The following is a 14,105-nucleotide window of genomic DNA, read 5'->3' as shown; positions in this document are numbered from 1 at the left end:
GCTGCTTTCAGGGGCTCTGGGGGTTTAGCCAGACCAGCAAGCCCACCTACCAGTGCAGCAGGGTCCCAGGGGACAGCCTAGCACTTCTCTGGCTGGCTCAGGGACCCAAGGAAGGGAGCCTGTTGAATTAGCAAAAGCCAAGGAGGGAAATGACCACAGGTACCCGAAGCTAGCTGTCAGGTGACGGGATGGTCAAAGTCAAAAAGAAACTCAGGTTTGTTTTTTTTTTCAAGGAGAGAATAATAATCTGCCTTTAGTTTGCAGTCCCATGACTGTGACTGACCCCACTACAAGTGCCCTGGGTGGCCAGGCCTTGCCCGCGCCTCCCGGTCCACCCCCTCCCCGTCCACCCCCTCCCCGGGGCTGTGGTGAGAGTGGTGTTGGACAGATGCAGCCACACAGATCCGACAGGGCCTTGACCTCCCCCTGCACACTGGGGGCATGCCTGGGAGTCGCCTGTCCCATACACCTTCCTACCTGATCCTCTTGCTGCCGCCACCGCCGCTGCTGCCACTGGTCCATAAGCCGCTGCTGGGAAGCCTGGTCAGGAGAGAGAGGAGCCTGAGTCATGGAGGAATCCTTGAAAGGGCCAGGCACAGACCTAGGTCACGGGCCACACAACCCCCCGCCCTCCACACAAAGACAGGAGTGGGAAGGGATTTTCACAGGGCAGCTTTTGAGAGGGACACAGAGTAGTGGCTGTCAGGCTTCCGGAAGGCACAACATCTTTAGGTGCGTTTGATTCTCACCCATTTGTCACCCCAGAAGCTGGTTCTAGAAGGCCCACAACAATAATTCAAGAATTGTAGGAGGAATTTTTTTCTTGAGAAGCAGGGTTGAGCTCCCTGTTGGCCGTGCATCGACACAGTGGCTCCCCTGGGGTTGTCTTGAGTAGAACTGAGCATGGCTGGGCTGGCCCACTGCTCCTGGCAGAGATCATGGCGGAGTGGTCAGCCCCGTGCCACAGGCAGGAGGCACTTGGGACGGCCTCTTGACAGAGCAGGCACCTTGGCCGGGAGCTGGCTTAATTCCAGCTGTTCTCCAAAGGCTCTGCAGGTTAGCATGGCCTTTTTAACTCCAGACTTTTGTCAAAACATGAAGTCAGCAGCATCACAGCCCCAGGCCCGAGGGTGAAGCATTGGGGGGTCCCAGGTGATTGCATACACATGGAGCCAGATAGGGAAGGGAGTGCGGGGCTGCAGGGGTCTATGTGGGGTGAGCCCTGTGGCTTTATTTGATCTCTCGGTGTTTCAACCTCCTGAGGCAATTGTGGGAATTTAGATGTGGCTCTTCGGTCTGAGCCCCACGGTCTAGATGAAGCTGGCACTGGAGGGTCTCCTACGGGTCCCTGGATTTCTTCTTGATCAAGGCTTATGCTATCTAAAAATGCACCGGGCAGCAAGGATGTCCCAGCAACGGGAATAATAGTCAGGAGGCCAAGGTAACCTCTTGTAGCTGCAGAATCCAGATGAAGTATGCCATGTTCCCTACCCTGGGCTTCTCTCAGCCACCAGCACGTGCACGCACAGCCTCGTGCTGGGACATACACAGATACACTCCCATACATATAAAGACAAACATCCTCTGCCATCCAGGCAGATGCTTGGAGGCCTGACCCCAAGACCCATTTCCAATCACTGTGGTTTTAAATGATGTGCCAGAAGCCAGCCGCAAACTCAATAAACAGCCCCCAACAGGGCTGCTCAACTTTAGCTACTGAGCCTTTTAAACAAGGAATTTCTACAGGACGAGAGGAAGACATGCACCGTCAAGGGCAGGGAGCAGAGGAGGGAAGAAAGCAGAGACAAAGCTCCCCCAAACAGAGCGAACTAGAAGCCCACTAAACACTAAGACTATTGTCCTAGCTACACGGTACTACTGAAGGGAAAGAAGTTCAAAGGGGGAACATGCTACTCTAAAAAGGTCAGGCTAAGCTACTTAAAATGTCAATGAAAAGAGACATACTTGCATTTAAATATGGTAATAGGGCTGTTGAAGGGGGAAAAAGAAAGATCCAGGTGAAATAAATGTATGGTTGTCCCTGGCTGCAGGTCTCCAAGCTCCCATGGAGACCATGCATGGTGACTGGAGGCCCTCCCTTCCCCAGAAGGCAGCAATGAACCGAGAGGGAGACCAAGGGAGGGACCCCCAACCAAGTCCTCTCCCCATTTCTTCCAGGCAGCATCTAGATTTCTGAAGATGAGGGTCTTGGCAGAAATTGCTGAAGAAACACAAGGAAGAAGTCAAGTTATTTCTCTCTGTCCCAACCCCCAGGACACCCAGGCTTCTGCTGCTGTTAAGAGCAAGGCCCAGGGGATGCTGGAGGGAGAGGGTGCAGGTGAGTCATTCCTTTGCACTCCTTACCATGCGCTGAAAACAGCGGGTTTCCTTGGAAGCACGGAAAGACTTGGGGGAGGGGGAAAGAGGAACGAAGTGGGGGAGGGGAGTGTAGTCAATAAAGACTTGTTAAGAAAAGGTCCATTTTCTGGAATTGAGTGCATTTTGGACAAAAAGTCTGAAAGAGGAAGAAAAAAAAAACTTATCCAAGAAAGGAAATCCATTATCCTTAATCTCAAATAAAGGCTCCTGCTGGAGGTGGAGCATCAGACACTGCTGAGGGCTGGAATTTCATCTCCACCCTGGAGAGGGAGGGTGTGAGAAGAGGGGCTGAAGGAGCAGGGCTGCCCAATCTGTCCCTCACACAGCACGGGCAGCAGCTCCATAGTCGCCACCCCACTGCCTCTGTGCCCTACATCTGAAACACCAGGGCCTTGCCAAAACCTGGCCTAGCCCCTTGGGAGCCTCCTGGTAGGGAAGGGATGGAGCTTGCACCAGCATCCTGCACAGCCGTCCTCCTGGCCCCCTTCTGCTGCTCCTCGCCATCCCCCTCCTGTTCCATTAGGCCATCCAGCCTCACCAGTCACCCCTCACCCGCCAAATACATTTTCCATATGACCTGGCAGACAGGCCCCTGATACTGAGTTCCCAGGGCCAGGCCTCTTCTTGGTGGCTGGGCTTGCGGGAGATGGGCAAGCACAGATACAAGGGGTGTGTGTGTTGGGTGTGTATGTGTTAAGTGTATGTGTGTTGGGTATGTGTTAAGTGTATGTGTGTCAGGTGTATGTGTGTAATGTGTGTTTGTTGGGTGTATGTGTGTTGGGTGTATGTGGATGTGTGTGTTGAGTGTATGTATTGGATGTGTGTGTGTGTGTATTGAATGTGTTGTGTACATGTGTTGGGTGTATGGATGTGTGTGTTGAGTACATGTGTGTTATGTGTTGTGTATATGTGTTGGGCGTATGTGGATGTGTGTTGAGTGTATGTATGTGTTGTGTGTGTTGTGTTTGTTGAGTGTACGTATTGTGTACCTGTGTTGGGTGTATGTGGATGTGTGTGTTGAGTGTATGTATGTATTGGGTGTGTGTGTTGTATATTGAGTGTACGTATTGTGTACATGTGTTGGGTATATGTAGATGTGTGTGTTGAGTACATGTGTGTTGTGCATGTGTTGGGTGGACTAGGGGCACCCCAGCTGGGGCTGCCAGAGGCCAAAGAAACATCCTGGTGGCCTGAGCCTAAGGCTGTGGTGACGGAGGGCACAGGCTGTCTCCAGGACAGGCCCTTCGCAGGACACAGGAGGGGCCTGAGGACCAGGAGGCCCCTGGTGGAAACAACTCTCTGGGGCTGGACCTGGGAGGGCTGGGAAATGCAGGGGAGAGACGCCTGGCAGAGTGGCCTCGTGGCACTGTCTTCAGCATTTTCCCCCAGGCCCTGAGGAGGCCGGGGTCATCTGGGGCAGGCTACTTCCTTGGGAAAGCAGGGGCTGGGTTATCAAGGAGGGGACTGCCTTAGCAGAGAGTGCTTGGGGGAAGACTGCAGGGAACCAGGCAGGTGGTCTGGCAGGGCTCAAGGCTTCTTCATAGGGCCTCGGGCCAAGCAAAGCTGCGGCAGAGCTCCTTGGTCCATGGGTGCCCACAGATGCCCAGCACCCCACTGCCCAGAGTGGGAAATGATCACCCCTCCACTGCTGGAAATGTGGTGGGGGGGTCCCTCCTCAACATAGCTTCCCTGGCCAATGTGTGAAGGGGCCACCAGACTCCTCCTCCTGAGGCAGGGCAGCACAGCAAACAGCAGAGCACGCAGACCTGGAGCCTGTCTGGGTTCGATGCCTGGCTCAGCCGCTTACTAGCTGTGTGACTTTGGGCAAGGTGCTTATGCTCTCTTTGCCTTGATGTCCCCAACTGTAAAGGAGATGACCATTTTAGTGCAGGATTAATATATGCAAAGTGCTTAGATGAATGCCTGGCAGTGAGTTAGCTTAATTAGTGAGAGCTAGGCCAGGCGCGGTGGCTCATGCCTGTAACCCCAACACTTTGGGAGGCCAAGGTGGGCCGATAACTTGAGGTCAGGAGTTCAAGACCAGCCTGGCCAACATGGGAAAACCCTGTCACTACAAACACACACACACACACACACACACACACACACACACACACACACACACACGAATTAGCCAGGCATGGTGGTGCATGCTTGTAATCCCAGCTTCTTGGGAGGCTGAGGCAGGAGAATCACTTGAACCTGGAAGGTGGAGGTTGCAGTGAGCCGAGACTGCACCACTGCACTCCAGCCTGGGTGAGAGAGCAAGACTCTGTCTCAAACAAACAAACAAACAAACAAACCAACAAACACTCTTTGGCCAGGTGCAGTGGCTCATGCCTGTAATCCTAGCACTTTGGGAGGCTGAGGCGGGAGGATCACCTGAGGTCGGGAGTTCAAGACCAGCCTGGCCAACATAGTGAAACCCTGTCTCTACTAAAAATACAAAAATTAGCTGGGTGTGGTGGCGCATGTCTGTTCCAGCTACTTGGGAGGCGGAGGCACGAGAATTGCTTGAACCTGGGAGGCAGAGGTTGCAGTGAGCCAAGATCGCATCACTGCACTCCAGCCTGGGCGACAGAGCGAGACTCTGTCTCGAAGAAAAAAAAAAAGAAAAAAAATGTTGGTGACACCTGCCATTGTGATGAGGCCTACCAGGTCTCTGTCCAGGCATCAGCCCTGTCTTCAAGACAGGACTCTTCACCAGGCAGGGGTGTTCCACTGTCTCCAAGGTAGGAGCCATGGTCAGCTGGTAGTAAGCACACAGGGGGCCTGAATTTCTTTCTTTTTCCTTTACTTTTTTTTTTTTTTGAGACAGAGTCTCACTCTGATGTTCAGGCTGGAGTGCAGTGGTGCAATCGTGGCTTGCCGCAACCTCCGCCTCCAGGGTTCAAGCAATTCTCATGTCACAGCCTTCCAAGTAGCTGGGATGACAGGTGTGTGCCACCACTCCTGGCTATTTTTTTTTTTTTTTTTTTTTTTTTTGTATTTTTAGTAGAGTCGAGATTTCACCATGTTGGCCAGGCTGGTCTTGAACTCCTGACCTCAGGTGATCTGCCCACCTTGGCCTCTCAAAATGCTGGGATTACAGGTGTGAGCCACCGTGCCTGGCCTGAATTTCTTATTGATTACAGTGGTCTGGTATCCTTCATAATATCCCAACTTCATAGCATCATTTTAGTGGAGTTAACATAGCTCAAAATTAGAATACACATTCTGTTTAGCTCTAACAATGACAAGTGGGCCAAGGGGTCAGGCATGACCCTAGTGGCTTAATACCTATCATATGTTAGTAAATCCAGCAGAAAAGAGAAAATCATTTTGCTGATCAAATCTCAGAGGGCCTGAGAGCTATAGGTTGACCACCTGGAACTTAGGTACTAGGAATGTGTTATGCTCCTCTGTTTGGGAACCTTATATTCAAAACGAGGATGTCTGGCTAAAAAAGAAAGAAGCACTAATGGTGGAATTCCAGGCATGAACAGGGGCCACGGCTTGTGGGAACCATCTTGTTTAATGGGCGTCAGACTCGAAGACCCATTCTTGCTAGAATGGAGTTCCTCTGCCCTTCGAGTGGGATAACAGAAGAATCACCCCCTTGGCCTCAAAGCCCAGCCTTCAGCCCTGGCTGTCCCTGCTTTGCTGTGCAATTGGACACGACACTTCACTTCTTCGGGCCCTGTGTAACTTTTCTCTGTTGCAAGGAGGTTGGGCAAGATGACCTCTAACGTCCCTTCATCTCAGACCTTGCTTGAGCTTGTCTGCGGGGAGGAGGATGATAAACCCAAGTCCTCTGAGGTTGGTGCTAACACAGCTCTGGGGTTAGTGACTCATCTAAGTGAAAGATGTCACCAACCTGCTGACAGTGGATGAGACACTTTGCTGGACTTTTTGGAGTTGTGATGATCTAGTGCAAATTAGAAGTCAATGGTGCTTTTGGGTTTTGGGGAATTTGAGGATGATATGATACCACACTTACTTTTTATTGCTTCTCTGGCACTTACCAGCTTCTTCCTTACCTAAGCACAGTTATTTTTGTGTGCATATCTTATTTCTCTTGCTGGGTGACAAACTCTTCTAGGGCAGGGACTCAGTCACATGTCCCACTTAGGACCTAGCCCAGAGTCTTCCCCACAGAAGACTGTCAATGAGCATCAGTTGATGATGGTCAGGATGCTCTGATGCAGTGGATGAGGGTATGGGCTGGGAGTCACTGCTCTGGGTAAACTGCAGCTGAAAGGCAGCACTGCCTACAAGAAGTAGCCTCCCTAGTCCCACGATCCTCCACCCCAGTGGGGGCACATTCAACGTCCCTGGAGGGGTCCAGGGGCATGATTCATCCAGCAGATGGGACACAGCTATGGCAAATGGGAGTGCCCTGCTCTGTATGGGTGCTGATTCTCAACCCTGGTTGCTCACTGGACCCACCTGGAAAGCTTTAACAAATGCTGATTTTTGGGTCCCACCCCTGCGATTCTGATTACTTGGTCTGCAGAGCAGCCTCGGCACTGGGACCTTTAAAAGCTTCCCAGGGCCAGGTGTGGTGTCTCATGCCTTTGGGAGACTGAGGCGGGAGGACTACCTGAGGTCAGGAGTTCAAGACCAGCCTGGCCAACCTGGTGAAACCCTGTCTCTACTAAAAATAAAAAAAAAAAAGCTAGCCAGGCGTGGTGGTGGGCACCTTTAATCCCAGCTGCTCAGGAGACTGAGGCATGACTATCACTTGAACCCAGGAGGCGGAGGTTGCAGTGAGCCAACATTGCGCCACTGGACTCCAGCCTGGGTGACAGAGCCAGATTCTGTCTCAAAAAAAAAAAACCAAAAAACAAAAAACAAAAAAACTTCCCAGATGACCCCAGTGTACAGCCCAAGGTTGTAAAAAGTAAATTTATGGCACACATCTTCAGTCTGCCAGCCCCTCCACTTTGCAGAAGCAAAGGGGCTCCTGAGAATACAGGGGGCTAACTCTTGTGGCCTGTCCCCTGTGAGAGCCAATGCGATGTCTCCACTTGGTGCAGTGGTCTCAGTCCAGCCTGGAGGAGCTTTAACCCTGGCCCCAACCCTGCCCACAGAATCGGGTGGGAGCCGGGTCTCTGTGTCTTTTAAAGGCCTTCCGGATGATTCTGATGCACAGTGTAGGCAGAGAACCCTTGATTTAGAGGAAGCTTTGGGGTCTTTGTTTTTAGTTACCACTGAAAGGGTATTGCCCTCTGTCCCATGGGCTGGGGAGTATTACGTCATGAACCCTTTTCTTTGCCTCCTCTCCCCTTCTTGGTCTGAGAAGACACTGGTCTGGGAGTGGACTGCCTGGGGTATGGTTCTGGCCCAGTTGCTACTTATTTTGGTGACCTTGGATGAGTCAGTGGCCCCTCTGTGCCTCTCTCAAAGGAGGAGATGAGAGAATTCTGAGGCTCCTTCTGGCTTGAATAGGTGTGATTAAGGGGAATCTTTATAAAAGACTCTTTTGTAATATGCATCACCGGCCCCGAATGGTCCATTATGAAACAATTTTTCCTATGTTGTGCTTACTTAAAGCACTCTCCACCCCCTTCCCCAGCATGCTTGCATCTCCCCAGCAGCAATTTCTATAGATGGTTCAAACATTCTTGGCTAAACCCAATGTTGCTTCACCGAATCCAAACACTAAAAAATAAGCAAGCAAAAGAAGAAACTGTCACCCAGAATGTAGGAAACATGTCCTACGAGAGTTTGGAAACACCGCCATCTGTCATCCTGGCTGGCCCAGGATGCTCCCACCTCCCGGGCAGACCAGCCTGATGCGACAGGGCTGGTTCTTTTCAAGGAAATCCACAGCCCTGACTTCTGTGCAGAGAAAGACAGTGGCTGGAGGCTGCAAAGGGGAGAGAGTGGAAAAAAGGTGGATGGCACATGTTTGGAGTGGGAGGACCAAGGGACTCACATCAGAACAGGGGGTGCAAAGAGGAGGAACAATTGATAACCAAAGGGACACACTTACATGATCAGACTGTCACATTTTGATTTGAAGGAAGATGTATTTCCATTTGAAAAAAAAAAAAAAAAAAACAACTTACCCTGGCGTCCTTGGCATTTAAAATAGGAATCTGTTTTAAACACATATTTTTTGGGAGAAAGCCTGACATTCCCAAGGGTACCAACACATCACTCCCATGGGGACCCCCAGACAGAGAAGGTTGCGGCTGCTGGTTGGGGAAGGGGGTGCTGGGGAGTGAGTGTATGGCCTGGGGGGGCAATGTCTCGCCCTCAGCTGCAGCTGGGAAAATGACAGGCACGTGGAACCTGTCATCTGTCCCTCCGGAGAGGGGCCAAATGTGAAGGCCAGGCCTGCCTGCTGGGAAGGGTGAGAGGTTGGTGGCTCAGGTTGGTCCTGTTGCCTAAAGGAGAGAGGTCCTGCAGTCAAGAGCCCTAAGGGTGTTAGTTCCTAAAACACAGGGATGGCACAAAAGTGCCCCAGATAATTTTTAATACAACTGCTGTTTAGCTTAATTTTAAAAAAGATATGTATGTAACTCTTCAGACTGATAGGACTAAAAGGAAGGTGCATCGCAATGTCAAACCTTTGTTGAGGTTTCAGAAAGTGTTTCTGTCAGGACACCTCTGACTGGATGAATGGCTTTGTGGAAGCATAAAATAGAAGTTAGGCAGCACCCCTGGGAAGCAACAGAGAAATCCTCAGAAGAGGCAAGTGCGGAACCAGGGGGCCCAGCCAGGAGCGGAAGGTGTGTGTCTGTCCGCAGGTTCCCTGCAACTGGGAAGCACTCAGGAAACACAGCGGAGCACCTGTCCCACCCCACTGACCCAGCAGAGGACCAGGAGTAGGGAGAGACCTCTCCCTGCCTGCCCACAGCGGGGCCCTTCGCAACACTGGATCTTGTTTTTGGCAAACAGATTCTGCGGCTTGAGAATAGGCTTTGGTCTCAACCTCAACCTGTCTCCACAACAGAACGTGGTGTCTTGGGCTGCGGAGGGAGAGCTCACGCCTTCCTCCAGTCTCTCTGAGAGGGGGCATTTTCATCCCACTCGTAGGGGGTGCTCCAGGCCCACAGCTGAATTCCACGGAAATTCCTCCTGCCTCCCCTCTTCCAGTAGGGTACCTTTTCAACCTGGGCTGCAGCCAGAAATCCCCTGTGGAGCTTGAAAAATACAACCTGGGCCCTACCTCCTGAGATTCTGATATAATCTGTCTGAGGTGCAACCAGGGCAACAGAAACTGCCAAAGCTCTCCTGGGAATTCCAACTTGCAGCTGGAGCTCAGAACACTGCAGTAGGTAGTTTGTGTCCTGCGACTCTCTCAGGGGGCAGGAAGCAGAAAGCTCTATTTGGGGACTTTGGCCCAGTAGCCTTCTCCCTGGGCCCATTCTACCGCTGAATCACTAAATCCCTCCCCAAAGAGGGCTGGGGCCTAGCATTCAGTACCTGCATGCAGTCACCCAGAACTTCCGCAGTGAGCTGCAGCAGAACTGATAACTCAAGACCCATTCTCAGCCCTGTGCCCTCCCAGTAAATACTGAGTGCTTGCTACAGGCCAAGCTCGGTTCTAAGCACTGGAATCATAGCAGTGAACAACATACAGTCTCTGCCCTCATGGAGCTTAGAGTTGCTAGCTGTGGACAGCAAAGGGGCTCTATTTATGGGACTGGGGTCCCAGGACAGGCTGCACACAGATCAACTGCCCAAGGAGAGACAACTGGCTAATGGTAAGCTGGGCCTGGGCTAAAGGAGGCCGTGGCTCACTCTTCCAGGAAGAAGGTGGGGGACCTGTGCTTTGGACCCCTCTAGGTTGGAACCAGGCATTGGCTGTGTCTGCTCTAGGGTCTTCTAGCTGAGCTCAAGGACCTGGGCGTGGCTACACCAAATGCCACTTGAAGATAGAGAGAGCACTCAGAAGACTCAGTCCTCAGAGATGGGAGTGCAGGAGTGGCCATTCCAATGAATCCTTTTCTCCAAGATCAAGTGGCAAGAGAGAAAGAAAATGGAGGTATTGCCATAGCTATGATCTTGACCTACCCCCAAAAGGTCTCACCACTTTGATTCAATTCAGTTAAAAAAAACTACTGAGCTGGGCCCTGGACACATGACCAAGACACAAGTAATTCTTTCTAGTTACTACCCATTGAGGTGGAGGCAGGGGACAGATCCCTGACTTCAGAGGCCCTGGAGAGTTCCAGCCTCAGGCATCATTGGCCTGACCATCCAGGGCCTTGGGGATGATGTGCATTTTGCTGCAGTGCTGGCCAGACAGCTAGCATCAAGAATGGCTGACACATTACAAGGGCTCCGACGCTGGCCCCCAGCCCTACAAGGACACTTGGTTCAGCGTCACTCTCTGGCCAGCAGGACTTCAAGGGAGAGAATGTCCACATGGAGTTTATTCTGAAGCCAGCCCTTGCTACCCTGTGCCAGCAGCCTGTGGCTCCTCAATAGGCCAGGGACACCCACTTCCCCACAGAACAAACATCTATCTGCCTATCTTTCTGAGACCCAGACTGAGACCTTCAAAGTGAAGGGATTCTAGCTTCAAAAGAGGCATCAACAAACTATCTTGACAGTTTTTCTTTCCAATCACACCCTCCTCTTCCCTAACTTCTCATAACAATGGCAATTTCTGATTTTGAGCCACTCTCTCATCTACCACCAATGAGTGTCAGGACAAACTACGAATGTTCTGACCATTGATCCTTCCAGAGTTCCCTGTTCCGATGCTTTTTACACTTCTCCCTGTACCCAAAACTTCAGACACCCAACTGCCAGAAGAGTCACAGTTTTGCTTCCTTCCAACAGGGTCTCTTGCTGAGCCCCTGAAATCTTACACTCTCTCTGGGTTCCTTCTCCATGCCTGCTTTCTCCCCAGCTTCATGTCACGTGGGCTTTTTCAATGAATCCGCCACAGCAGGATCCTAGACCCCAGTCCAGTGGCCCTCACCTCTGCCAACCAGGACAGCAAACGCTCAAGTCTTGAGCGCTCCGACTTTTTTTGCTGAAAAACTCCAGGTTTCCTACTTTGGCCCCATCACTAGCTCAGTGATTAGATGAACATCTGTGATCTTAAGTTCCCTCCCCTAGATGCTCCACCACTTCTGTCTCCTGAGTGACGTTGTTTCAGATGTTGAAGGGCAGACACCACCAACCCTTTTACTGCTAGACTGTGGAGCAGTCAGGGAGTCTCAGGGGAGAGCCCAGCATGGTGGGGAGGAACTTTGGCTCAGGGCAGCAGCCATTTACCAGCTAGTATAGAAATACCTAAAAATGTCAACAGCCAGTAGTTTATACCACTACACTCTAGCCCTTGTTGAAAAGGTGGATGGGAGGACGGCCTTCTCTATTCCTTACTTTCCTCACCTGTAAAATGGAAGAGCTTGGTTTTGATGATGAGAAAATAGTCATTACACTAATGATAACACAACAGCAGCCACCATCTGAGCACTTTTCATGGCCACAGAGCGTCCCTGCATCATCTCAGTGAGTCCTTGCTATAACACCACAAGAAAGACATTACTATTCCCATTTAATAGATGAAGAATTCTAGGTCCAGAGAGGTTAAAGAAAATAGTACACAACGGTGGTTAAAATCCCATCTCCCACACTTAACTAGTTGTCGGACCCAAGACAAGTTACTTAACTTCCCTCTCTGCCTCCTTTTCCTCCTCTGTAAAACCCAGTTAATGACACCTCCTCCTAGGGCTGCAGTGAAGATCAGTGATTCAGTGAGATGATGGCGTTGGGCGCTCAGCACGGTTATCTGTTGCTTGGTAAGTGGAATAATAACATTTATTTCTATTTTTATTATTATTGCCCAAGGTAATAACTGTAGCGGAGCTGAGAAATCCCTTTGGTGCCTTCCTATTCTAAAATCCTATTAATTTACATGGCATTTCACATCCAAAGGGCTTTAATAGATAACATTGATAATTCGCTTGTGAGTGATGGGGTATGTCTTATCTGAAGTGCGAGCTTAACTCTGGCGGGTTAATCTGACAGCAGGAGGCAAGGGCTTGCGGAGGGCCAGGGAGAAGCAGCTGGGGTGGCCATCGCCCTGTGAGGTGGTCACCACAGGCATGAATGCGGAGCCTGGAGCCCCAGTGCTTGTGCTGGTCAGCTGGACTGATGGTTCCCAGTGCCCTCCTGCCCTGATGTGCTGCCCTTGAAACAGGGTCTTGCCCAGCTCCCCCCACCTCCTCTAGGAGGGGCTGGACCAGAGGAGCCTTCCTGGGTCCTTCCACCAGAGTGGAATCCTGTTTGCTGCTCTGTTCCCAACAAGCAGGCAGGGGCCCACCTCTCATTCACCACTGTGTCCCCCGCATCTAGGGCAGGGCCTGTGACATAGTGCTTGGTGACTATACGCTAAACACCTAAAGGAAGGATGGAGAGATGGATGGGTGGAGGAGGCAGGATAGACACAGGGGGATGGGGAGAGGTGCTCCTGGCCTTACCTGAATCCCAGCACCTTCAAAGCTGGTCCTGGGTTTCAGGAGAAAGACTGTAGAATCCCTAAGCAGGTTCCCCACTAAGGGAACTGTGGGGCTGGCCTCACACCTTTCCCTGCAAAACCAGGCGTGCCCTGGGGGCAGCCAAGCATCTGCTCAGACTCAGGGTGGGGCAGCAGGACCTCAGTGGAAGGAACAGGAGGCTACACTTGCCTCTCCCTTTCCCACCTCAAAGGCAGCCAGCCCTGGCCAGCTGGCATCCAGAGCCCACTGGGGCTGCACAGCCGTATGCATAAAGGCCCCAGTCGGGGAACAGCCTCCTATGGCACAGGTGGGGTCAGCATCCCCGGCTCACAAAGCATGTGTCCGGGATTCCCTGGGTTTGAGAAGAGTGGCACTGGCTTCCCAATGCCAAAACCTATTGTCCAGCTGTCTCAGCCCAAGTACTAGGACAGTCTCTGCCCAGATGGGGAATCCATGGAGGTAGGAATGCGAGGGAGGGAAGACACATCATGTGTTTGGGCCTCCTGCTGGCCCTCTAGGTGGAATACCCTCCCTCATCATCTGCCTGGCGAACTTCTGTGCGTGCTCCAAAACTCGGCTCGGATGTTGCCCGCTATGGTCTGAATGTTTATGTCCCTGCCAAAATTTATATGTTGACATCCTCACTCTCAAGGTGATGATATTAGGAGGTGGGGCCTTTGGAAGGTGATTAGGTCATGAGGGTGGAGTCCTCATGATTGGCATTAGTGCCCTTATAAAAGAGACCCCAGAGAGCTGGCCACCTCTTTGACCATGAAAGGACAGAGCAAGAAAATGGCAGTCTACGAACCAGGAAGTGGTCCTCACCAGATGTCCAATCTGCTGGTACCTTGATCTTAGACTTCCCAGCCTCCAGAACTGTGAGAAATATAACTTTATGTTTTCTTTTTTTGAGACAGGGTCTCATTCTGTCACCCAGGCTGGAATGCAGTGGCACAATCACAGCTTACTATAACCCTGAACTTCTCGGGTCAAGTGATCCTTCCGCCTCAGCCTCCCAAGTAGCTGGGATTTCAGGTGTGTGCCCCCATGCCTGGCTAATTTTTTAAATATTTTTTAAATATTTTGTTGAGACAGAGTCTCACTATGTTGCCCAGGCTGGTCTCAAACTCCTGGCCTCAAGAAACCCTCCCGCCTTGGCCTCCCAATGTGTTGGGATCACAGGAGTGAGCCACCGTGCCTTGCCAATTTATGTTTTTTATAAGCAACTCACTCTATGGTGTTCTATTACGGTCACCAGAATGGACTAAGTTTTCACCC

At 51.4% G+C, this 14,105-nt stretch overlaps 1 protein-coding gene across 10 annotated transcripts in view, besides 3 other annotated features; it reads right to left on the bottom strand.

The window, feature by feature from the left end:
- MSI2 (musashi RNA binding protein 2) overlaps positions 1–14,105 on the bottom strand; it is a 445,731-nt gene that overhangs the window by 48,943 nt on the left and 382,683 nt on the right. For all 10 annotated transcript variants that reach the window (NM_001322250.2, XM_047435313.1, XM_047435314.1 and 7 more), the window contains one exon: positions 478–540. In NM_001322250.2, coding sequence (NP_001309179.1) covers positions 478–540 — 63 coding nt within the window. The remainder of the gene's footprint in view (positions 1–477; positions 541–14,105) is intronic.
- Positions 2,808–3,617: an enhancer, noted in NCBI's record as "H3K27ac-H3K4me1 hESC enhancer chr17:55726383-55727192 (GRCh37/hg19 assembly coordinates)". NCBI's record gives its function as "activates a minimal SCP1, AML or CMV promoter by ChIP-STARR-seq in naive H9 embryonic stem cells {active_cell/tissue: H9 hESC(naive)}" and the evidence as "EXISTENCE:reporter gene assay evidence [ECO:0000049][PMID:30033119]".
- Positions 9,213–9,362: a silencer, noted in NCBI's record as "fragment chr17:55720638-55720787 (GRCh37/hg19 assembly coordinates)". NCBI's record gives its function as "represses an EF-1alpha promoter that drives an FKBP-Casp9 reporter gene in an ReSE screen in HepG2 liver carcinoma cells {active_cell/tissue: HepG2}" and the evidence as "EXISTENCE:reporter gene assay evidence [ECO:0000049][PMID:32094911]".
- Positions 12,796–13,598: an enhancer, noted in NCBI's record as "H3K4me1 hESC enhancer chr17:55716402-55717204 (GRCh37/hg19 assembly coordinates)". NCBI's record gives its function as "activates a minimal SCP1, AML or CMV promoter by ChIP-STARR-seq in naive H9 embryonic stem cells {active_cell/tissue: H9 hESC(naive)}" and the evidence as "EXISTENCE:reporter gene assay evidence [ECO:0000049][PMID:30033119]".

Source organism: Homo sapiens, chromosome 17 (assembly GCF_000001405.40).
Source record: "Homo sapiens chromosome 17, GRCh38.p14 Primary Assembly".
In the NCBI taxonomy this organism is placed as follows: Eukaryota; Metazoa; Chordata; class Mammalia; order Primates; family Hominidae; genus Homo; species Homo sapiens.
Note: the sequence above shows the minus strand (reverse complement) of the source record. Positions and strands in the feature narration are given on the sequence as shown.